This window comes from Homo sapiens, chromosome 5 (genome assembly GCF_000001405.40).
Source record: "Homo sapiens chromosome 5, GRCh38.p14 Primary Assembly".
NCBI lineage: Eukaryota > Metazoa > Chordata > Mammalia > Primates > Hominidae > Homo > Homo sapiens.
Window position 1 is genome coordinate 65,003,615 of NC_000005.10, and position 26,334 is coordinate 65,029,948.

Sequence of the window (26,334 nt, forward strand, 5' to 3'; positions counted from 1 at the left end):
TGTCTGGAAAAGACTTTATTTCTTCTTCATTTTTGAAATATAGCCTTGCTGGGTACACTATTCTTGACTAGCAGTATCTGTTTTCTTTTAGCATTTTGACTGTATCATCCCAGTCTTTCCCTGCCTGTAACGTTGCTGCTGAGAAATCTGCTGATAGTCTGATATGTATTTTCTTATATGTGACTTGATGCTTTGCTCTTGGTGTTTATAAAGTTCTCTATTTTTATTTGACTTTTTTTTTTTTTTTGGAGACAGAATCTCACTCTGTTGCCCAGGCTGGAATGCAGTGGCATGATCTTGGCTCACTGCAACCACTGCCTCCCCAGCTCAAGCGATTCTCGTACTTCAGCCTCCCAAGTAGCTGGGGTTACAGGCACCCACCACCACACTCAGCTAATTTTTGTATTTTTAGTAGTGACAAGGTTTTACCATGTTGGCCAGGCTGGTCTTGAATTCCTGGTCTCAAGTGATCTGCCTGCCTCGGCCTCCCAAAGTGCCGGGATTTCAGGCATGAGCCAACATGCCTGGCCTTGTCTTTCACTTTTGACAGTTTGATTATAATGTGGCTTTTAGGGTTGAATGTATGTCGCACTCCTTGAGCTTCCTTCCTTCCTTCCTATGCCTCTTGTAAGACTTATGAGTTTTTCTGCTCAGCTATTACTTGTTAAATATGTTTTCTATGCTTTTGCCCATCTCTTCTTCTTCTGAAATTCCCAGAATTCTAGTATTTGGGCACCTCATGGTGTCCCATATGTTGTATAGGCTTTTTTTTTTTTTTTTTTTTGGTGGGGGGGTGGTCTGATTTGGTATTCAAAAGCCATGTTTTCAAATTCAGAAATTCTTTCTTCTGCTAAATCTAGTCTATTGTTGAAGCTCTCAGTTTTTTTGTTTCATTGATTGAATTCTTCAGTTTTAGACTTTCTGTTTGATACTTTTATATGATATCTATCTCGTTGAATTTTTCATTCAGATCATGAATTTGTTTTCTGATTTCTTTGTATTGTTTATCTCTGTTCTCTTGTATCTCACTTAGTTTGTTAAATATCTTTATTTTAAATTCTTTTAGTCATGTCACAATTTTTCCTTTATTTGTTATCTGTTACTGGAGAATTATTGTGTTCCTTTGAGGATGTTGTGTTTCTTGCTTTTTCATGTTTCTTGTGTCCTTACTTTTATATGTGCACAGCTGGTCTACCAATTGCTTCTTTCATTTTTATGGATTGGCCTTCAGAGGGAAAGACTTTTTCATATATATATATATATATATATATATATATATATATATATATATACATACACACACACACACACACACACACACTGTTGGTTGGGTAGGGTGCTTCAGCTTTGCTTCTGGGTGGGTGCAGTAGTATAGACTTCTTAGCCTGTAATCAGCTAGTCAGCTTCAGTGTTGTCTGTTGAGTTCCTCAGTGATTAGGCCGCACTTGTTAGTGTAGGCTGTGGTGAGGCTTCTTTGGGTATAGGCACACCAGGTGGGTTGATCCATGGGTACCAGTACTGGCAGTAGCAGGCAGGGCAGGCCTGTCCTCAAGTTCCTAGCTGGCATGCACCAGCACCAGAAGCAGCAGGAGTGGCAAAATGGTACCCAGGCTCCCAGATGGCACATTTAGGCACCCATGGCAGTGGCTATGGGTGGGGCAGATTAATCCCCACACCTCCAGATGGTACTTGCAGGCACTGACGGTGGCAGTGAGGAAGGTTGATCCCTGGGCCCCAGGATGGCATGCTCATGCACATACACCTGTGGCAGTAGCAGGGCAGACTTGTCCTCAGGTCCCACATGACACCTGTGGGCATTGGCAATGGCAGACACAGCATGCTTAACCTCAGGCCCCTGGATGGTACATATGAGTGCCCATAGCAATGGGCAGGGCAGGTCAGTCCCCAGACCCCAGATAATGTGTGCAGATACCACTGGTGGTGACAGATGGGGCAGGCCTGTCCTCAGGCCCCCAGACAACAAGTATAGGCACTAACAGCAGTAGATGAGGCAGTCTGATCCCCTCTTCCCTGGACAACACACACTAGCACTGGTAGTGGGTGAAGTAAACCTCTCTAAACCCTGTAGTTTCTTAATTCCTAAAGAATCTGTGAACAATTATGAAAAGAGAACCCTAAGTTACTTGTAATCAGTAATAGAGAAAAGCCCTAAAATTAAATATTCATAAGGCTTTTCCTAAAAATTACATTTGATAGTTATAAAATATAGAAATAAAAGCATCCAAGTAATATTTTAAAACATACTCTAGAAATCCTAGGAAAATATCAAAAATTTAAAACAAAACAGCCATTTATATTTTAAACAGTAGCCAAAGCAAACCGAGAGTCATAGGAGAAAAACTGGTTTTGATATTTAGTGTTAGTAATGTCATCATTCTTTATATAGCTTGTTTTAATTAACTCATTTGAAATGAATCTAAAGCTTTGTGATTTTTGTGTTGCTTGTGATTTCTTAACATTATAATAAGTGCCAAATGTTTGTTAGCATAGTCAACAATTATCCAGACACTATTTTGTTCTTTGTTTTTCAATAGCTGCAAAAGTACCTGTAAAAGTATTAGTCATATTTAGGCTTCCAAGTTTTCCAGTGAACTAGGAATCTGGCTTCAGCTTGGCAACTAATTCTGAGACCTTTAGTTGCACATTTGTAAAATGGAATACAGGAAGCTAAGTTACTTGCATATTTAAAGAATCCAAGGCTATCTACCAAAAGTTCTGAGAGGTCAGTATTGTGACCAGATACAAAATAAGTACACAAAAAGTCATAGTTGCTCTGAAACAACCACATAATTTTTGAAATTATGAAAACATAATTTTTAAGATTCTAACTCACCAAATATAAATTACCTGGCAATAGCCTTTATAAAGATTTATTAAAATCTTTATGTAAAATTAAGAAAACTGCAACCTATTAAAGGAGTACATTGATATACTATGTTTCTAGAATACTTAATTTTTGACAAAAACCAAATTACCTAAAAATTATTTTATAAACCTAATATAATTCAAATAAAAATACCAGTAGAAGGAGGGAGAGAAACATGCAAACAAATATAGCCACAAAATGTTCTAATAAAAAGAGTAGGGAAACATAATTTCTCACTCCTTAGGTATGGATTACGCATGGTGACTTCCTTTCAAAGTGTACATCATGGAAAGCAAGAAATAAAAGAGTAACTTCAAGCAGAAAAGATAACTGTTAGGTATTGGGCTTAATACATGGATGATGAAATAACATGTACAATAAACCCCCATGACACGTTACCTATGTTACAAACCTTCACATATACCCCCAAACCTAAAATACACGTTTATTTAAAAAGACAGAAAGAAAGAAAGAAAGAAAGAAAGAAAGAAAGAAAGAAAGAAAGAAAGAAAGAAAGAAAGAAAAGAAAGAAAGGAGTAATTTTGCAGTGTAGAAACCTGACAAGCACTACCTCAGTGAAGTGATCAAGGTCAACATTAACAGTCATAAATCATGTTGCTAGTATGTACCCTTGAAACGATGTGATGCTAATGGCATTTTACATCTAAGGCCTTTCTCCCAATAACCCATAAGCCCAGTCTTATCATGAGAAAAATGTTGAATTGCAGCCCTGTGACATCTGACCAGTATTCCTCAAAACTGTCAAGGTGATCAAAAACAGAGAAATTCTGAAAACTTGCCACAGCCAAGAGTAGGCTAAGGAGGCATGACAACTAAATGTAATATGGTATCCTGAATGGGATTCAGGAACAGAAAAAGGATATCAAGTAAAAGCTAAGGATATTGCTCTACTTGGGTTGCTATAAACAAGATCTCACAGACTGGGTAGCTTAAACAACATTTATTTTCTCACAGTTCTGTTGGTTGGAAGTCCAAGATCAAGATGCTAGCAGGATTGGTTTCTGGTGAGGTCTCTTTTCCAGGCTTGCAGACAGCCATCTTCTTGCTGTATCCTCACATGGTCTTTCTTCTGTGCTCATGTGCTCCTCATGTCTCATCATTTTCTTTTTTTTTTTTTTTTTTTGAGATGGAGTCTCGCTCTGTCCCCCAGGCTGGAGTGCAGTGGCACAATCTCCCCTCACTGCAAGCTTCGCCTCCCGGATTCACGCCATTCTCCTGCCTCAGCCTCCCATGTAGCTGGGACTACAGGCGCCAGCCACCATGCCCGGATAATTTTTTTGTATTTTTAGTAGGGACGGGGTTTCACCGTGTTAGCCAGGATGGTCTCAATCTCCTGACCTCGTGATCCGCCCGCCTCGGCCTCCCAAAGTGCTGGGATTACAGGCGTGAGCCACCGTGCCCAGCCTCATCATTTTCTTATAAAGATACAAGTCCTATTGGATTGCTGTCCCACCCTTATGACCTTATTTAATCTTAATTGCCTGCTTAAAGGCCCTATCTTCAAATATGGTCACATAGTATATTTGTATGTATATGTATGAATGTATTCAATGTATGAATTTTGCAGGAACACAATTTGGTCCATAACACTAAAGAAATCTAAATAAATTTTGGACTTTACTTAATAACAACCTATCAGTATTGCTTCATTGAATATAACAAGTGTACCATACTAATGTAAGATGTTAGTAATACACCAGAGTAGTTTGAGGGTACAAGAACTCTCTGTACTATTTGCTCAATTTTGTGTAAATCTGAACTGTTCTAAAAATAGTCTATTAAAAAATACACAAATTTTGAGACATATGTTTAAAAATGAGTAACAGGATCATGATCTTTCCCAGTCAGATAGATGCCTAAGTATACAACAGAGTTACAATAATTAAAGCAGCAGTGTACCGTACAGGGTGGATTATTTAAGAAATGAAGTTGGGACAGTGAGGTAGCCATTTGGGGAAAATAATTAAATTAGAACTTTATCCGACCCACTATACTAAAACAAACTTCTGAACTGATTAAAGATTAACAAATGAAAAAAGAAGAAAGTGCTAGAAGAAAATATAGGTGGATATTTACATGGTCTCAATGTAGGAAGTGATGTGCCTATGTATTACAGTAGTTCTTGATGAGTTATGGTAATTTTTGTTTACTTTTTCTTCTTGCCTCTTAGGATTGTCCTACTTTGCAAAAAGAAAAACAAAAACAGTGAATGTATATTGCTGAAGCTATGAAAGTTATAAAAATAAAATAACATTTCTATAATTCTTTGATTCTATAAATAGTGTCTGCCCTCCAAATGGCTTAAGTCTAGTGTAGATAGGACATATTTAGAAATATACGTATAAACCTCCAAAGTGAGTTGGGATCAAATAAGTTATATGTGTATGATGATGTACACAAAACACTTTGAAAGGGGTATGTAGTTGTCTATGCCCATTTATATTTCCATAAAGGAATGCCTGATGCTGGGTAATTTATTTAAAAAAAAAATGAGGCTTATTTGGCTCACAGCTCTGCAGGCTATACAAGAAGGATGGCACCAGGATCTGCTTCTGGTGAGGGCCTCAGGCTGCTTCCACTCATGGTAGAAGGCAAAGGGGAGGTGGCATGGGCAGATCACATCATGACAGGGGAGTGAGAGTGAAAGGGAAGGTGCCAGGTTCTTTTTAACAACCAGTACTCAAGGAAACTGTCATAGCAACTAATAGAGTGAGAGCTCATTCATTACCACAAGATCAGCACCAAATCATTCATGAGGGATCCACCCCCATGACCCAAACACTTCTCACCAGGCCCCACTTCCAACACTGGGTATCAAACTTCAACATGAGACTTGGCAGAGCCAAAGAAACCATATTCAAACCACAGTAGCAGTATAATAGAGTATTATAAAAATGTAAATATTCAAATAAGCACAGTTTATATGCAACACATAGACACACTATTATGGACTGAATTGTATCTCCCTAAAACTCATATGTTGAAGCTCTAACTGCCAATATGATGGTATTTGGAGGTGGGGCCTTTGGAAGGAAATGCTTAGGTTTAAATGAGGTCATGAGGGTGCCCCCGCTCTCCCTGCATCCCTGTGTTGTGATTAGTGTCCTCATAAGGAAGGAAGAAACTAAAACTCTCTCTCTCTGGCACATACTGAGGAAAGCTCATGTAAGGACACAGTGAGAAGGCAGGCATTTGCAATCCAAGGAGAGAGCCCTCACCAGACACTGACTGATGGCACCTTGATCTGGGACTTCTGTCTGTGAGAAAATAAATTGCTATTGTTTAAGCCACTCAGGCCATGGTATTTTGTTATGGCAGCCCAAGCTAACTAAGACACAAAGTACAAAATAAGTTAAAATGATAATAAATGTTTGGATTGCACTTTGCCATTTGCAGAGCCCTTTCAAATCCATGATGTTTGATCCTCAGGCCACGTGAGGTAAATAGGTTGCACATTACCACCCCTCTCCACAGGTGAGGAAACAGAGGCCTGAGAAGCAATGTGACTTTCTCCAGTAATAGTGACTGAATGTAACTCAAATCAAACTCAGGGCTTCTGAGTGCATACCACAGAGGTTTCATAGAAGGTGTTAAAGAAATTCAAAGGCAGGAACAAATCCTGAGGCCCAGGGCAGTCAGAAAAGAATTTTAGGAGGAAATGGGAATTAAACTGGGCTTTGAAAAAAACAGGGACATACACCAGTGGGAAGGAGGCGGAAGGGCGTCCCAGAGAAGTGATGTGGACAAAAGTATGCTGCAGCCCACCTATGATACAGAGCAGGTCCTTTCAAAGGATCAGATGTGGGCAAAACTTGAAAATTGTTTGGTCTTGCTGAGATTTTTCTTTAAAAATAAAAAGGCTGGTTTTGCTTTTTAAATACAAGTCTCCTTTCAACCCTACCCCTAAAAAACTTAAATCAGATTCATTAAAGTTTGTAATCCACAGTCCCATAGAATGACAATCTTAGTAATAACTAGGAGCTATTTTGTTAGGTTTCTTAGAATTCTAACTTAACAGAGAAATTAGAAGCTGTCAACACAGTACACTAACACAGTACAGAGACAAATTTTGTGTATGGCAAAATTTCATAAAGAATGGCAAGGTCTTTTAACCCACATGGGGAAGGCTGTCCGAGGACAATATATGTACTTTCTCCCACCTCAAAGGCTAATCATACACTAGACAGATGTCAATCTTCAAGCAGTTTAACTGGTCCATTTGAGAAAGATAAGTGTTGGATTTTCATATCATAAAGTTAGTAGTAGTAGAAATACCTTGTTTCAGCTGTTCGAGTAACTTATTACCCTTTTCTCTGGCATTATCATGTAAGAGTTTATAAACATAATTGCTCAATGATTTGGAATTATGTATTAATACTATCAAGGAGCAAGGTGAACAAAACCAGAACTCTAGTCAAAGGTTTTGGAGGTGGCTGGCTACTCAGAAACATTTATTTATTCAGCACACATTTATTGAGGGCATTCTTCTTGGCAAGCATTGCTGGCTAGTACAAAGGCCAATTGGTACAAAGGCGAATAACAGAGCCACCATAGAGCCAGGTGTGGTGGCACATGTCTATAGTCCCAGCTGCTTGGGAGGCAGAGGCAGGAGGATCACTTGAGCCCAGCAGTTCAGGGCTATAGTGTGCTATGATTACTTGAATAGCCACTGCATTCCAGCCTGGGCAACATAGCAAAACCCCATCTCAACAAAAAAGCAGAGCCGCCACCTTCAAGAGCACCTGCAGCCTAGTAAGGGAGACAGCAGTTACACTGTAGTATGAGGAAGACTAAACCAGAGAGATATTCAAGATTCTCTGCAAGACCAGAAGAGGGTCTTAACCCTGGGGGAGAAACAGCAGGTCAGATCAGGAAAGGAATCAGGAACCATTTCTAAGATGGAGATAACACTCAGCTAACTGAGAGACAGAAGTGTATAGTGTATATAGAGGCAGCGAGGAAGAAGGAGAGTGCAGGCGTTTGTTCAGGAAACTTCAAAGAACTGGGATGTCTGGAGCATAGATGTGATGGGAGAAGGAGATGTAACAGGCTGGAGAGGGAAGCAAAAGCCAGATTATAGAAGCCACATTGGGAATTTTGGGTTTCCTTGTGTAGACAATGGAGAGCCACCAAAGCATTTAAAACAGAAGAGTTTTCATGGCTACATTTGCATTTTTGAAAAATATAAAAGACCTGAGTATTATGGACCACAAGGTAGTCCTTAGTAATTCGATGGCTGAGAGGAGATTGCCAGATATCCACCCTTGCAGAGGCAGGCTGTGGGCCCTTGGTTCTGCTCCTTTTGGACTTCCAGCTGAATGAGGTGTCCCTGCTTAGCATCCCTATTTTAGGAAGAACTAGAAGAAACTGGAACTGAGATTTCAGATAGCACTGATTAAAGGCAATAAGGAGATAAAAATTTATAGGGGGAATTAATGCTTTTTCTTTTTTGTAAGTAAGCATTCACCTAAAAGAGTTGTGCCTTTTCCCAAAGATGCTCCCACATTGCTCAAGACATTTCTGGAATTTCTCTTTTGAAATTTCTTTAATGTCCAACCTGGATTCATGTCTTTTTATGGTTGCATTTTTTAAATTTTGTACTCCAAAATAAGCACTACTCTATCTGATTTCTTATCTTCCTTACTAGACCTAGCACTGAATTGACTTTTGATGTATTCCCAAAGTTAAATCCATCTTTACAGGATGAAAGTTTTGTTACCTCTGAAGACATAGAAGAAAGTATCTGGTCAAGAAGTTATCAGCTACAAGTTTCTCGACCCTCAGTCTCAGAGACTGCCTATGAAACAGGGGTGATAATAATATTTTTCCTGCCCCCCACCACATTCAGTTATTGTAAAGATGCTACCAGACAACATGGGAAAGCTTTTTGTAGAGTGCTGCATCAGCGAGTGCTATTTTTGTTGTCTCACAGTTTGCAGGCAATTCCAAACTCTGCGTTTACCACATCGTGGTGTCTGTCTGTATGTTCTTACAGATTGTTTACTTCATGGAAGTAGGGCCTGGGTCATATTTGGCTTTGTTTTACCAGTGTCCAGCGTTGGCAGCATGCATTAAAAGCCCCCAGATGTTTTTTGAATGAATAATTGAGTCTAGCTCATTGCCTTTTCCTCAAATCACATATATCAGAAATAAATAATGCACTTGAGATTATTCAGTTCAAATAATAGACTCAGAGGCTACTTGAGTTTCTTTGAGTAGTTTGTCATTAGGAACCAGCTGTTCTCCATCTCTGAAGGGGCAAGGACAAAGGGCTAATGAAATCAATCAATCTGAAAGCATAAAAGCTCTTAAGCTTTATTTCTGTGCCCTTTACTTTGACTGCATTTAAAAATAACTAGGAACATTTTTTTTAAGTTACTGATGCTGGGACCCCATCCCAGAACAATTAAATCAATACCTTTGGAGTTGGAAGCCTGGCACTGATAGTTTTTAAAGCTACTTGGTGATTTTAACATGCAACCTGCATCGGATGCAGGGGCTCTAGAAATATGCTTTGAGAAACATTGCTTTAAACAAATAAAAAATAAAAAAAGGGGCCCTTCTCTCTAGTTCTACATCAGGTGCTATATGAGATGGATAAGAACATAAGGCATGTTCCCACTGCAGTCTTTTGAGGAAATAAAAACTAGCAATCACTAGTATGAGTGAGTGGAAAAGCAACTATCAGTATTTGGTGAGCTGTGAGAAATGAAAAGAGACTTATGCTGAGCCTGAGACTTTCTGCAGAATCTGGTAGATGTTTTAGGGAGTTTATCATCAAAATATAAGACAGTCTCTACCCACAAAAGGAAGTTGACTCTTAGCTTAGCAAGCCTTCTAGTACCAGCCAACAGGCCTGACCAGTACAAAGGGTCTGAAGGCCTTATTCCCAACACAAATCACCATGTTTGGCACCGGGAATGCAACAGTGAACAAGACTCAAACTGTCTCAAACAACTGAGTCTGTTCACAATCAAGTAAACAGGCAATTACAAAATGGGGAGAATTGATGAAAGAAATGAAATAAGGTTGGTGAGATAGGAAGCACCAGTTGTTGGAGGACTTTTAAGGGTAGACTGAGGTATTTATTTCAGTCTAATATGATAACCAGTAGTTTCTGATCAAAAGAATGCTATAAAAGAAATGTGGAAGAAATATTATTTTTTAAGCTTTGGATCTGGGAAGGAAATAGTACAGATGTACAACAATTAGGACACCTGCAACAATCGTAGGGTTGGGTGATAAGTTCCTAAGTTAGGGTGGCTTGGATGTGGGAAGAAGAGGTTTGTAGACTTCCCAATGAAAAAGATAGCTGTTTATATTATATAAGTAATTTAAATTCATTTAAATCGGAAATGAATTGCTAATGTTGGAATTCTATATTAGACTACTTATTGTGTGTCTGAGAATCAGTTCCTCTCTTGATATTTCCCATTGATACAAATAGCTATTGTATCTTAGTCTATTTCACAATTGTGGGAGAACTTTAAAAACTGGATAAGAAGTTAGTGAAGTCAGTCAAGGTCTAGTCCTTTTTGAAAAATCAGTTGTTTACTTCTGTTTGTAATTTTACACAGCCCCATACCAAAAAAACACCAAAAACAATAACAAAAAAACCACTTTCCTGTCAAACACAACCTCTCTGAAAATAGTAAACTTCCATATTTTAACATACTATATATATAATATATACTATATACTACAATATATAATAGATTACATATTATATATGATATATATAATATATACCATAGAGATCAGTTATATATAGTGTATATACTGTATATATACTATATATACTATATACCATATGTATAATATATAGCTATATATTATATATAACCATAGATTTTATATATACACTATATATAATATTGTAACACACTATAAAGTCAATGTTATTTGAGAATCTGAGCCTATGTGAAATTTTTTATTAATCAAACCTAAATTTTTGTCTTTGCCTTCAAGTGAACAAGCTCTACAATTTTCATATGTAAATGATCAGTGTGTAATTAATTCCAAAAAAATTCACTACTTTTTTTGGGCCAATTCCATAAAGAGCCGCAGAGTGGATAGTATTGAGTTATTGGGACATACATGATTGTAAACTATCAGACCCCCTGTACTCAAATTGAGTCCGTATTCTAAATCTTATTGTGTATCCTCATAGGAGACTGTAAAGTGCGGGCATGCTTTCAATTCGTACAGTCTGTGATTTATAGAGGCAAGTAGGTCAGGAATTTATTATGCTGAAAATCATAATAACTGTTTTGTTTTGCTTTTCACAATGAAGTGACCAAAGCATGTTGAAAGATAAATGGATGAAGCATTTTGATTATGCTTGTATTTCTATTAAAGGTTAAATATTATTGCCAAGTAACTAGCCATGCTAAGTATTATGATATTAAAGCTGAAGTAGTTTGTAAGCTGATAGCCCTTTCTTTCCTCTGGGTTTAGGTTTGTTATTAATCAAAATGTTGGACTTGCTTAGTGCAGTGGTGTATGAAACAAACAGTTGAAAAAGACAGCTCCTTTAACTCACGGCTCTCTGCTTTTTTTCAAATTTGTAAGGAAATCTGTTTCTTCTTGTGGACTTTATGCTGTTATTCATGTGTCTAGAGTTCATTTTTTATACCAGAGCCGACTAAATCCAATAGTTGCAAGATTCTCTCATGGCATAGAAAGGAAAAAGGTGCCTTTTTATATTCTTAATTGACAAATTCTGATCAAGTCATTTTTGAAACATGGAGAATCCCTACTAGAAATGGATATTACAGAAAACCATCTGTATTTCTGGGCAGAGAAAAGGATAATTTTTTAAATAGAAGAATATGTATATGAAGAGGTATTAATAAGACAGTAAGTTTGTTTTCTCATATCAATCCAGGAGTATTGATGAAAGTGTTTTAAAGGGCGTATGATTCCAGCTACACTGGTGTTGGCTTAGACATCAACACAGCCAGCCCGTAAGCACTTGGAACGCTGCTGCTAAGCATGTACTGAAGTGCAGTAGAGGGGTCTAGATGCCCCCGATGTGTGGTAAAGTACCTTTAACAGGACAGTCCTACCATTCTTCTGCACTTACTTCTCATCAGTGGTAATATTACAATTTTAAAGGGTGCATTTTGTGGGGGATGCAGCAAAGATTGTAAGAAGTGTTGAAGAAAAAGGCTACCTCTCAATGACTGGAGAAAAAAAGGCTTAATTTATTACTTAAGTAAAGAGGAGCTGTGCTTTTAGGCACAGTGTCTCCAAGCAAAGCAGGCTGCAAATCTTACATAGTGTTTTGGGGTCAGGAATTGTTTAGGGGCAGCTATCACCCTCAGAAGCCCCATTATTTGAAAGAAACTATTGTTGACTGGCTGGCTTTCAGAAGCATATTCACTGGAGCCAGTCTGCAGCCGACAGGCCAACTTTCAAAAGCATGTGGCTATCACTGGTTAATTGGCTTTCAGAGGTGTATTTACTGAAGTGAGTTGTCACTGATTATTTAGACCTTGGTGAGATATCATTAACTGCATAAATCTGGTTTAATTATTCTTCCAACTGGTTCTAGTGGTTTACTTAATACCATGGCTGTCGAACAGTCAGCCTTTTTCTGGGAGTTAGAGATTGTCTTACTTTCAGAAGCTAATACCTAAACGCTGTAGGAAATTGAACGCACAAGAAAATTAGATTTTGCAACTATTGTACAATACATTTTCTAATTAAGGGTGTCTACTAAAGGAATGGAAGTGTAAAAAGTCAGCAACTCCACATGTGAAATAGCATATTCAGGTATTAAGATCAGTTATGAAATTTGATACAAATTATGTATCATTAATAATATAGTTCTAAGCATGGTGGCATGCGCTTGTAATCTCAGCTCCTTGGGAGGCTGAGGCAAGGTGTTCACTTGATCCCAGGAGTTCGAGACCATCTGGGGCAACATAGCAAGATCTCATCTCAAAAATAATAATAATAATAATAATGAAGTATAAAAATGTGAATGTGACTTATTCAGTAAATTAAAGTAGATTCTAGATCATCCATATATATCATTTCTACTTATTGCTTTCCAGTAAGCTTTCTCAGGTGGGACAAAAGAAGGTAGAAACGGTACATAAGTCTCAACTCGCCAGCCCTGGTGAGCAGCAGCTACTGAACCCTTAGTAATGATGGTATCACTAAAATTGTGACATTTTATTTCCCTCCTAAAATCTTTTTAGGATTCTTCAAAATCTAGGTATACCCATGTGAGTTTGCCACACAAGTAAATTTCACTCATCATTTGTGCTGCTGTAGAGAGAAAAGAGTGAGGGATCTTCACTACTGCCTACCTACTACCCAGATCTCTGCTTATATGGGGGAAAAGATATTAGCATCATATTTGGGTTTCATCTGAAAGTTACAACAGGCATATAAGAAGTATTAATCCTACAGTTTAACCCTATCTGCTGTGATGAAGAAAAGTGTGTATAGGATATAACTGGTAGGAAAAGACTTAAGAGTTTTATTTGTATGAAAATTGAACTTTTCGCCGGGCACGGTGGCTCACACCTGTAATCCCAGCACTTTGGGAGGCCGAGGCGGGCAGATCACGAGGTCAGAAGTTTGAGACCAGCCTGGCCAGCATGGTGAAACCCCGTCTCTGCTAAAAATACAAAAAATTAGCCAGGCGTGGTGGCAAATCTCTGTAGTCCCAGCTACTTGGGAGGCCGAGGCAGGAGAATCGCTTGAACCCGGGAGGTGAAGGTTGCAGTGAGCCGAGATCGCGCCACTGCACTCCAGCCTGGGCAACAGAGTGAGACTCCATCTCAAAAAAAAAAATTGAACTTTTCTCTTTCTAAATTCATTCAACTGTTCTGAAGTCTGCTCTTTGGACTTCCCTGTTTATTCCTGGCACCTCATATGGGGCACAGCTAATTACCAACATATTTCGCTGATCCTAAAGATAGCTAGCTTATGACTTCTCAGGATTCCAGCATATGCTGATACCTTAAGACCAGTAAGCTTTTGATGAAGTAAGAAAGCAGGATTCGTTAGATTCGTTGTAATCAACAGTAGAAGGAAATTAGTCCATAGAGTTATGTCAAAAGTTTAGTTTCCTTTTGTATGAAGAAAATATTTTTTAAACCAGCAAATTCCCCAGGAAAGAGAGTCATAACACCATTTGAACATCATTTTTAAATTACCTTAATGTATTCCCAACTCTTGACCCATGTAACTGTTGAAATTTTTAAAAATCAGATAGGGCTGGCTTATTGTCTTGAGTTTTGCTCTGCAACCTGACTCACTCTGGCTAAAGGAATGTGTTCTTTAAAGGAAGCAGACAGTGTCCTCTGAGTTTACTTTGAGGAACACTTCTGTATAGAACTCTTTTAACCTCCCAACAGGGGAGAAACCTCAAGTGAAGACTGAGGCAAAGAGACTCTCTACTAGAAATACAAACCAGCAGAACAAACTCCAGACATGTTTTTCAAATTTAAGGGTTTTCTGAGAAGTTGGTTTCCATGTGGTGTAAGCACCAGTAAACAACAAACCCATCTTGGTGTTCTGTATGCTTATGTTTCATTATGTCGATGATAGTAGAGTATAGAATTTCTACTGTAAGTTCCCATGCAAGAAATCACTGAACCATCTCTCTCCCTATTTAGGATGTCACATGTACTTCAGTTTGAGGATAAAAGCAGAAAAGTGAAAGATGCAAGCATGCAAGACTCAGATACATTTGAAATCTATGATCCTCGGAATCCAGTGAATAAAAGAAGGAGGGAAGAAAGCAAAAAGCTGATGAGAGAGAAAAAAGAAAGAAGATAAAATGAGAATAATGATAACCAGAACTTGCTGGAAATGTGCCTACAATGGCCTTGTAACAGCCATTGTTCCCAACAGCATCACTTAGGGGTGTGAAAAGAAGTATTTTTGAACCTGTTGTCTGGTTTTGAAAAACAATTATCTTGTTTTGCAAATTGTGGAATGATGTAAGCAAATGCTTTTGGTTACTGGTACATGTGTTTTTTCCTAGCTGACCTTTTATATTGCTAAATCTGAAATAAAATAACTTTCCTTCCACATTACATGTTAACCATTGCAGACTGCAAGCCTGTTTGTGTCCTTTTACCCTAAAATATATGAAGGCTTCCTTTTCAAGATTTTTTTATAAGAAGTTCCTACAGAAAGAATATTTGTGGGAAACCTCCCTTTCACTAACTTCAGAATATAATAAAATATTATAAATAAAATATAGAATATAAATATGGATGGGGTTTTTTGCATATAAATATTTCAAAATATCCAAGCCAGCACAACTCAATATCCTCATGCCTTCAGTCTTGAGGAACCCCCAAGTGAACATTCACACCTCCATGCAGGCCAGTGCCTGGGTTTTATGGGCACAGTCAAGATACTTTAACACTCTAAGTAACATCAGCCAGGCTCACTGCATGCCCAGCCTGACATCTGGCCCCCTGCCCACTCCTCTGCCCTTCTCAGCACAGCGATACCAAGAGCACATGCAGAGGTCTCATTCTGACAATAAAAACTCATTAAGAATTTAGCTTTTGATGACAATCATTCATACTTGTTTTTTGTTTTTTGTTTTTTTTTTTTTTTGAGACAGAGTTTCGCTTTTGTTGCCCAGGCTGGAGTGCAATGGCACAATCTCAGCTTACCACAACCTCCGCCTCCTGGGTTCAAGCAATTCTTCTGCCTCAGCCTCCCAAGTAGCTGGGATTACAGGCATGTGCCACCATGCCCGGCTAATTTTGTATTTTTAGTAAAGGCGGGGTTTCTCCATGTTGGCCAGGCTGGTCTCAAACTCCCAGCCTCAGGTGATCCACCTGCCTCTGCCTCCCAAAGTGCTGGGATTACAGGCATGAGCCATTGCGACTGGCCCATACTGGTTATTTACTGTATATTATCTATATTATATATTACAGTCTGAATGCTAAAATTATATCACGGGCTAATTCCACTAACCTGATAAAATCTCACCAGCTACTTCTTTTCAGATCATGTCTCATCAGCTCTCTCTTTCAGAATGTAATCTGATAGGCTTTCTCTAGAGCATAGAGCACTGGTTCTCAAAATGTAATCCCAGATGCAACACTACAGCAGTAGCATCACTTCAGAACATGTCAGAAATGTAACTTCTCGGCCATGCCACCCACCACTACCACCTCTCTTTCAGACTACTGAATCTGAAACTTTGAACCCTGAGGGCTCGTTAAACAGATGGATGGGCCTCACTCCTGGTGGTTCCACCTCTTTTGATATTGGCAATATCTAGTGAAGTTAAAAATGTGTATATCCAATAACCCAAAAATTCTAATTCTAGGTCCTAGGAATCCTAAAGAAATTCTCACATATTGCTCAAGGAAAGGAGTACTAAGTTATAAACTAAAGCATCAATCAAAGAATGGATAAATAAGTTGTTGAATAGTCATACTATGGAATACTTTACAGAGGTGAAAATCAGTAAACCAGAGCTATATGTAGTAGCAGATCTTTAAAATAATGTGGAAAAAAAGGAAACCGCCTATATAAAAATTAAGACACAATTCATTATGATATATTGTTTATGAATGTACACATATGTAGAAAAGTTTAAAAACACATGTGGAAATAGTGTTTGCCTCTGAGAAGGAATTCACAGGGAGCTCACTTGTGTTTGTAATGTTTTATTTTTTAAGTGCTGGATGGTAGATACTCAGTTCTCATTTTCTGTACATTTTGGAATATCTGAAATATTTCACAATTTTTTTATGATTATATCTGGAACCTGAGGTGAGAAGACAGAAGAACCCCCAGTACTAACAAGAACCCTTTCTATTTGCTTCAGGAAGAAGGAGAGAGCTTCAAAGAGGAGGAGAGGGCTATGATTGAGGTGTTCTGAGAAAATGTCAACCCACTCAAATGCAGAGTGGTCAGACTCAAAGCCACCCCAAAATAAGCCAGTGCTTGGAAGTGTGTCCCATCTTCCCCTCACCATAAAGGTTATAATATTGGTTTTATTTCAGATAAAACAGAATTTCATCTTCCAAACTCACAAAGTCTCTGTTGGTTATTCTGAAACATATTACCACTAAATCTGTCTGTGTTGAAGTACCCTGTGGTTTCTCTACCATTCCTCCTGGATTGTGTCCACCTTAACCAGTGCAGTGTTATCCTGGAACAGAGGAAACCACAGACCTCCAGGGCACACATTAGAGAATACTATTTGCAGGTTTAAAAAGATAACTGAATGACAAAATTAAAACCAGTTTGGTTGAATGTTTCTCATCCTGTTTTAACCACAAGGAGCAGAAAGATCTGAAATTCTACAGAGATTAGAATTTTATCAGAAGAACTTCAACATGATAATAAAATTCACCATAAACTTAACTGAATAAGAGCAATAACAATTTTTAAAAAGCTTAAAAATGTAGTTGAATTACCTGTTCAATATTGTATGAAATGTGTTCACAGTAAACCTTTTGCAAATGTCACAGGAATGTGTGGAAGCCAAATGAATTCCCAAAACAAAAAAAAAAATTCAAAAAACATGTTAGAAAATTAGTCTTTTAATTTTAATTTCATATTTGGGATTTTTATTTTATGTGTCTTACCCTAGGGATGTTATCCTAAGACAAGGAAGTATGTTAGCATTGGTTTTTTGTTTGTTTGTTTTGTTTTTTACATTTCTCCCTTGCTATATGAGTTAGCATTCTTATTCATTGTCTGTGACAATGCTGCACGTTCTGGAGAGCAAAGAGAAAAGCAACTCCCAGCAAATTTTTTTCTCATTTTATGACAAATCAGTTTTTCTCATGGTCGAAGTCATTGGCAAGGTGAAAGTTTAACCCTAGACCTCTCCATTCTCAGTAGGTAATTGAGGCAAATGCAGATCTCTCTAGAATTTTTAATGATATAATACAAAATGCAAGGCTTGATGAAATTTGAATTCCAAGGGAAATAATGAAACACCAAATCTTACTATTAGAAGTCCTGGGTTTGTAGAAAGAAACATTTATTCATTTATTCCCCAAAATCACTACCACCACCATCAAAGCCATAGGTGAATACTAAATGGTGTAACAATACACATGCCCTCAGCACTCTGTATCCTCTGAGGCCACACAGTAATGCATCTGCTGCATCTAAAAATGGGGCTACCACAGAACAAGGTCATTAAAAAGTGTGAGGAGATGAGTGGTTTGCTGCTGTTTTTAGCACAAGTTCAATCAGCTATGATGTCCTTATCAAGCTGTCACTACCAAGTTCCTTGATAAGATCTGACGTGTGAGGTACATAAACCTGTTCTGTTGTAGCACTGTGGCCTGTATGGAAAAGGTTAGATACATGCAAAATAATGCCCAAACATGCTGTTTAATCTTGGTGATAACAAGAAAGAAAATGGAGGTGTGAAGTGAGTTACCATTGAGGGTTGTATCAGTATAAGCAATTTGTCTGTAATGGGTGTAGAGAAGTTAAGAGAGGTTACATTCTTTAACACTGTCATTCTCACACACACACACACAAAAGCAGGTCTAGGTTCTCTATGGCTTTGTCTCTGTTCCAATAACTCTGAACAGTTTATCAGGTGGTATCATTTCTGCTTACTAGAAAGCAGGAAGTTTAACTGTCCCAAGTATATTTTATCTCCTTTCTTCTTTTAGCTTTTACTGAAGACAAGTGAAACAGGAACCATACTGTAGAGAAATCCTTTCTAATAAAGCCTTGATGAAATTTGAATTCTGAGAGAAATAATGAAACACCAAATCTTACTAGGATGGGCTTTAGAAGTCCTGTGTTTGTAGAAATAAACATTTACTCATTCCCTAAAATCACTACCACCACTACCAAAGCCGTAGGGGATGATCTTTGTCACAGGTGCTAAGAGTTTCATTATTCCCTGTGGAAATCCCTGTGAAAGTTGTTTTCATTGGTAGGCTGGTAAACCAGCTTTCCTTAATAAAAGAAAGAAGAGCCCTCATTTGCAGCATTTACTGATTTCCACAACATAAGTCCTCTCACCGTGGCTGATTTCAAGCCACCAAAAGTAGCTCCAGTAAACTGGTTATTTTTCCCATTCTGTTTTATTCTAGCTAAAAGCTTATACAGTGACTCTTGCATTGGCCCTAAAGAACTTACACAAAGGTTTGAACCCTTTGCCAGGATCACAGTCTTCATGCATATTTCTATTTTATGTAATTACTTCACACCGTCCTCTAAGTTCTAGCAATACCTGTACCCCACATTTTTATGGCAGTTTATATCTTTAGATTCTCTCTTGATGGAGTTTTCCAAAACCACTTGCCTCACATTTATTTTTCCCCTGCTTCTTGTGTTTTTTGCCCCAATTAGTCATATGTCCAATTCAAGATGCAACCAAATCTTACAGGGGGGAAAAACAGCGTTGGGTGGGGAAAGGAAAGAAATGTAATTATAGTTCTTTGAATTATTCCAGGTAAGTAATAATGTATAAATTCATTATTTAATTTATTTTAAACTGTATTTTGGGTTGGGGGTGAGAAATCCTACCTGAAAAGGAAAGATGACTGGCTTCTAAATGAAATGCAGACAGGAGTCTGGTCCCTCTCTTTTCCACATCTGCTGGGAATTATTTCCTTAAGATTAGATCATGGTGCTAATTCATGTTAAACATCTTCTGGAGGCTTTCTTCACAGCACCAGTCAGAAAGAAGCTGTTCTTGGTCTTTTAGGAAATTATTATTTTCTCATTCTCATGATGCCAAAAATGATAGTCATTGCTAAAGTTATGGCACTTTTTAAAAGTAATCAGGATAATTTTAAAAGCAGGACACTCAAGTGACTTTCCTATTTATTTTCTGAATTTACTCTAGAGATTTATTATGATATTCAAACACTTTAATAAGAATATATTTGAGGCCAGAAGCGGTGGCTCATGCCTGTAATCCCAACACTTTGGGAGACTGAGGCAGAAGGATCACCTGAGGTCAGGAGTTCGAGACCAGCCTGGCCAACATGGTGAAACCCTCTCTCTACTAAAAATACAAAAATGAGCCAGGTGCAGTGGCTCACATCTGTAATCCCAGCACTTTGGGAGGCCAAGATGGGTGGATCACCTGAGGTCAGGAGTTCGAGAACAGCCTGGCCAACATGGAGAGACCCCATCTCTACTAAAAATATAAAATTAGCCGGGCGTGGTGGCACATGCCTGTAATCTCAACTATTCGGGAGGCTGAGGCAGGAGAATGGCTTGAACCCAGGAGGCAGAGGTTGTGGTGAGCTGAGATCATGCCATTGCACTCCAGCCTGGGCAACAAGAACGAAACTCTTGTCTCAAAAAAAAAAAAAAAAAAAAGGAGCCGGGCCTGGTGGCACGCACCTGTAGTCCTAGGTACTCAGGAGGCTGAGGCAGGAGAATCCCTTGAACATGGGAGGCGGAGGTTGCCGCGAGCCAAGATCATGCCACTGCACTCCAGCCTGGGCAACAGAGCGAGAATCTGTTTCAAAAAAAATAAAAATAAATAAATTAATTATTTAATTAATTAAAAAGGCCAGGCACAGTGGCTCATGCCTGTAATCCCAGCACTTTGGGAGGCCGAGGCGGGCGGATCACGAGGTCAGGAGATCCAGACCATCCTGGCTAACGCAGTGAAGCCCCATCTCTACTAAAAATACAAAAAATTAGCCGGGCATGGTGGCAGGCACCTGTAGTCCCAGTTACTCGGGAGACTGAGGCAGGAGAATGGTGTGAACCCGGGAGGTGGAGCTTGCAGTGAGCCGAGATCGCGCCACTGCACTCCAGCCTGGGCGACAGAGCAAGACTCCGTCTCAAAAAAAAAAAAAAAAAGAATATATTTGAAATGAAGCATACCATGTATGGAAAATAAATGACTAAAGTATATGTTGTATGGTTCATTCTCAACAGCTGTGAGTAAACTTACAATTAGAAGGTTTCCTTCTTTTTGTGTGGTGTGTATTATTTTTTAATTTGCAATTTTAAGGAAATATTTTATTTAGAATAAGAGGAATATGACCATTTTATTTCTATTACAAAACTTTGTAACAATACCATATTATTGGCGTAAGTGAATAGACTAATTAAGAATGGGATACTATTTCCCAAGGAACAAAAGAATTCAACAAGTGATTTTTAAATTAATCTGGAAAAGTTATACATGATATTATGTGAGGACTAGATCCATTTCAGAGTGAAATTCCATAATGTCCATCAAACCTACCATGTCCAAAATGTAACTGTCATCTACACTTCCCAGCCCTGCCTCCACCAAACCTGCTTCCTCTGTAATTTTCCCATCTCCATTATGGGCAACGTGATAATTGCATTGCCCATAATGCAATTTCCAGTTACTCAGGCCAAATAGCTTGGATTCCAGTCTTTATCTCACACATTCAGTCTGTTATGATATTCTGTTGACTCCACCTTCAAAATATTTCCAGAATTTTACCATTATTTGCTACTTCCCACTGCTACCACCCTAGTCAAAGGGACCATCAACTGTCATGTGGACTGCTATAATAAACTTTCACCCTTTTTTTCCTATAATTTATTATTAACATAGAAGCCAGTTACACTTTATAAAACAAGTCATGTTGTTATACTTATCTGTTCAAAACCCTTCAATGATTCCCCATTTAATTCACAGTAAAAGCCTAGGTCCTTACAAAGGCCTAAGGCTCTTTGCAGTTACCACCTCTTCCTCTCAGTCTCTCTGACTTTCTCTCTTACTACCTTCTCCATCACTTATTCTGCACCAGCCACACTATCCTTCCTGCTGTTCATCAAGTAAGCTAGGTGTGTTCCATCTCAGGGCCTCTGCAATGGCTGTTCCCTCCACCCAGAATACTGCCCCTAGGATGTCCACATGGCCAACTCCCTCAGTTCCTTCAAGTCTTTACTCAAATGGCACCTTCTCAATGAGGCCTACAATAATCACTCTACTTTAAAATTCCAGCCACCCCTCCCACACGCTCAGTCTCTCAATCTCCCTGTTTAGTTGTATTCAATAGGGCTATTAACTCCCACGTACTTTGCCTTATTTGCTTAATTCTTACAAACAACCCCATGAAGTAGGGACTCTTGCTATCAATTGTATAGATGAGGAAACTGAGCCTTAAAGAGGTTAATTTATTCTTTATCATCCCTCTCCTGCCCTAGAATGACCTCCATGAAGGAAAGGATTTCTGTCAGTTTTGTTCACTGTTGTTCCAGTGCCCAGAACCCTGCCTAGCAAATAGTAGACACTTAATAAATATTTGTTGGATTAATGACTAAACCCCTCAGGATCCAATGTAGGGTTATTACATATATTATAGTTTAATGTCACCATCATTTCATAATGATAGGACACGTTTACACTAAAAATGAAGGAAGGATACAACCTCACTTCAGGGACTGCTCTAACAATTGAATAAATGTAACTTTAGGGAAATACCACCACAGTCTTTTTCTCATTTAACATAAGACACTTTGTCACAGATGGGCTGTAAGTCCTGAGATTACAAAGAATTGAGGGCCAGCATGTGACGTATAGAAAGCAAGGCTGTAAGGCTTCAGACCTGCAACTGATTTAATAGGCAAATGATACAACCTCTTGACATCTGTTTCCTCCTGTCTCAGATGGGAACAGTCACAGCTGCCTTACCTACCTGTCAAGGTGTTGTTACAGTCAAAAGAAAGAATAGACAAGAAAACCAAGCTTTTACAAAGGTAAAGCCCCTGTAGTGGTAAGTGCTAACGTTTAATGGATATTTACTTGATGCCAGACTCTTGTCTAAGCACTTTATCAACTCATTTAATCCCTATAAACAACTCTATGAAGTAGGCTCTATTACCGTTTCCATATCACAAATGAGGAAGAGACTTGAGGCTTACAGAAGTTAAATAATTTGTCCAAGTCACATGGTAAGCAGAGGAGCTGATGTACAAAACAAGACTAACTTCCAGAGTTTCTGCCCTTTGTCACTGGACTGCAGAGCCTCTCACTACACAAGCCCAACTGTTTTCATTATATACCTTGGATTCACCTCTGGAGTTCAGGATCTAATGGGGTTGAGGAGGAGGACAATGCCCAAGAATAAAAAGACAAAACATAGCGATTTCAGTTGAAAAGTATTATACATGTAGAAACTAAGTGAATGCCAGAATGAAGCAAGAGATGGGTTTAGTGGGATTAATCTAGAACTGCTTTGTGGCAGACAGAATTCTGAACATAATTTGAAAGAAAGGGAAAACATGGCATTGAGGAGACAGGTCATGTTCCAGGTGGGGAGAAGGTTGTGCAGACAAGTTATTAAGACAAATGTCGGAGACAGCAATGTGTCTACATGATGCCAAAACATCTGGTCAATTCAGTTTAAAAAAAAAAAAAAACTTTCATCAATGCAGTGAATTTCTTCAGTCAATCCAGATGTTTGGCATCTTGTAGACAAAACATCCAGATGATTAACTGAAGATTTGACAGAATTGACTGGATTAACCAGATGTTATAGCATTGTATAGACATAGTGTCAGGCCGTTTGCTTGGCTGAAGCAGAGTCCAGCTGTAGAGGAGATAGAAGGCCCAAGCAGAGAGGCGGGATTTGGAGGAGAGGACCTGGAGATTGGATTTGATGAAATTGGTAGCTGCTGGAAGAGGAGGGTGATGGAAATGATGCTTAAGGAAGATAATTCTGTGTAAAGAGGGGGAAAAAATGCTGAAAGGAAAAGTTGTAGACAGGAAAAAGGATATTAGAAGAGTGCAGGTGTGTGTGTGAGGTAATTAAAGCCTGGACCAGACCCAGGCCTGGGAAGGCAACAGGAAGAAGCAGATCTGAAAAACATTACAGAAAAAGAACAGGAAGTCATGATGGGCTAGACAAGGGAGTGAAACTGCACATCACCCCAAGGCTGGAAACTCTGAGGCCTGGGAAAGCAGCCGCTGTCAGCCTCATCACAGTAATGAACCAAAGGACCCCTCCCCACAGCCTCACATCCAAGGGCTACAGCCAGGCCTACAGCCAGAGGGAACTCAGAGACCACAACACAACCCTCATATTCAGGTTCCTTAATTATTTTAATGCTACCTAAATTGAATTCCCTTTAAGCCCAGTTTCATGAAGTGATCAAGAATGCTAGATTAGGATTATCAGGTAGAAACAATTTCAGTGAAAAGTCTTAAAAACTAAGATGTAAAGTCTTAAAAAACTAAGATGTATAAGTAAATTAGATAAAATGAGATTATGAGAAATTGCACACCACCTGTTACCTGACAGATTAGCATTAGAGAAGCCTATTAACAGGCAGGAATAAAAGGCTGAATTCAAGAATTTATGATACTTTTTAAATCTCTAATTTATGAAACTTTAGAAGGTACAAGTCTTGGTTTAGATATTTCACAGAACTTTTTAAAATTCCAAATATCGTATTTGATAAGAATCAAGTTGATCTTGTAGTCACAAATTCCACTTTATTAGGATTTAAACTGTAATAGTTACATGATAGAGTATACTCCATCTTATTTTTTAAAATTCTCAATATCCATACACTTGACGGTTTTGCAATTTTGCAGTTTCAAATATTTTTAGCCCCAGGCCTATCAGCCCACACAGCCAGTTGTGTGCCCTTTATAAATACACCCAGATTTTCTCAAACTACTCCTTTGTTTATTTCAACAGAGAAAGAACCTTCAATAGAGACTAATCTCTCTTTGTTCATGGATTGGTACTGCACTGAGAATCTATCTCCATCCTGCTCCCGACAACACAGAATGTGAAATCGTAAATGTATTAATGTGCTTCAGAATCACCCTGCAGGAAGTGGAGGGGCAGGAATCTTGTCAAAATGAGTTTCCCAGGCCTCAGAAATGACAAGTCCGTTGATCTGGGTAGGGGTCCAGGAATCTGTTGCGTTTGTTTCTTTTTGAATAAGCTTACTCAACTAATTCTGATGCCTATTTTCTGAAAATCAGAAATCAGACTTAGACACTGCCCTAGAGCAGAAAACTGAAAGAATGAAAAACATCAAATGGACATGAGAATCTTAAATGGCAAAATAGGCTTTTTTTTTTAATCAAAGACTCATATTCTCTTAGGTATTTCTTTATATAATGAGCCCCTATGTAAATTTACCATATTCTTTGATATGCAAAATTTTTCACAGAAACTGCATAACATCAAATACACCTATACAATCAGAGAAGCCAAGAAGACAAGTAGGACAGCTTGTCTGTTCCCAATTCCCAGAACTTCCTACTACACCCCTTCCTGAACATAATGTTTACATGATGGGAAAATGCAATTAATGATCTTGGTAAGTCTTTCTAGTGCTCCAAGTTTAAGTCAGTCACTTATTTATAAGACAGAAAATAAAAAAATTTCACATCACTGAAACAATGAGTGATTTCTCCAGGTATTTAAATATAGCCTTCCAATAGCAATTATTTTATAGTAAAGATCTCAAACTTAGTAGACAGCAACTAGTTATTCGAAAAGCTAATCAGTGAAATGTCCCCTATCAAAGCATCAAGATTAGAGTATTTGTTCTCTATCTATAATCATATAACTGCTTCTTTTTTGGCAGCACAAACTATACCTACAAGAAAGATTAGTGGATTTTTTTCTGGTACTATAGTTCCATTTGCCTTAAACCTGACTCATTTTCCTAAACTTCTTTTTCCCAAAGATATAGGAAAGAAAATAAGAAATTTGGAGAATTTTACTAGAGACTCTTCATTACCTACGATGTCACAATTAAAAGTCTAATTTATCAACTTGCTTTGAATGATGCTTTTGAAACACATCAAGAATTTTATATGTAAGCCAAGTGGTTTTGACTTGAGTAGTAATTCTTTCCCACTTATCCATTCTCCTGCTACCTTCAAATCACATCTAGCAACCACAGGAAATGGTCTCATGCCTAGTGGGAGGGAGTTAGGACCAGATAGGATTGCAAAAGAAAACCCTTAGGAATTTTCAGAACATATACAACATCAGTACCTGTGTTCTGATACAGGTTAAAACAGAAAGATTCACTTCCACTGATCTCTTTCTTATCCCCCACATAAAAATATTAACCTTCAATATCTCATCTGAACCATTATATTGATCAGGGTAAGAAATAAACAGAAGATTCTTCTTTCACAAATTTCATTGATTCTACTACTTTAGTAGAATCATAGAATGCCTTTTGAGGCTTTTGAGCTTTTTCGCATCAGGAGTATTGCTAGTCCGTAGGCTGTCTTTGCATGAATTGGAAAACGGTAGCCGGTCCCCAAGGCATTTTACTTCCATATGTCAGAAAATTGTGATAATATACTTACTTTGTTAAAAAGAAACACTACTAAATCTGCAAGAAAAAAATCGTCATACTAAATATCAAAGCTATGTTGTTTGTGATGTGAATTATGTTTTTTAGACATGGCACCCTTATGCAGTGCTTACCTGTACAGCTCTTCCTCCCTCCGCCTTCACTGTCAG

The 26,334-nt window shown here is 38.3% G+C and overlaps 1 protein-coding gene across 2 annotated transcripts in view; it reads left to right on the forward strand.

Moving 5' to 3' along the window:
• CWC27 (CWC27 spliceosome associated cyclophilin) overlaps window positions 1-15,149 on the forward strand; it is a 249,846-nt gene extending 234,697 nt beyond the window's left edge. Inside the window, exon 13 of one of the 2 annotated variants that reach the window (NM_001297644.1) lies at window positions 14,545-15,149. In NM_001297644.1, the coding sequence (NP_001284573.1) occupies window positions 14,545-14,568 (24 nt within the window). In that variant the 3' untranslated portion in view covers window positions 14,569-15,149. The remainder of the gene's footprint in view (window positions 1-14,544) is intronic. The other variant, NM_005869.4, reaches the window with a different exon arrangement.
• Window positions 15,150-26,334: the final 11,185 nt, after the last annotated feature.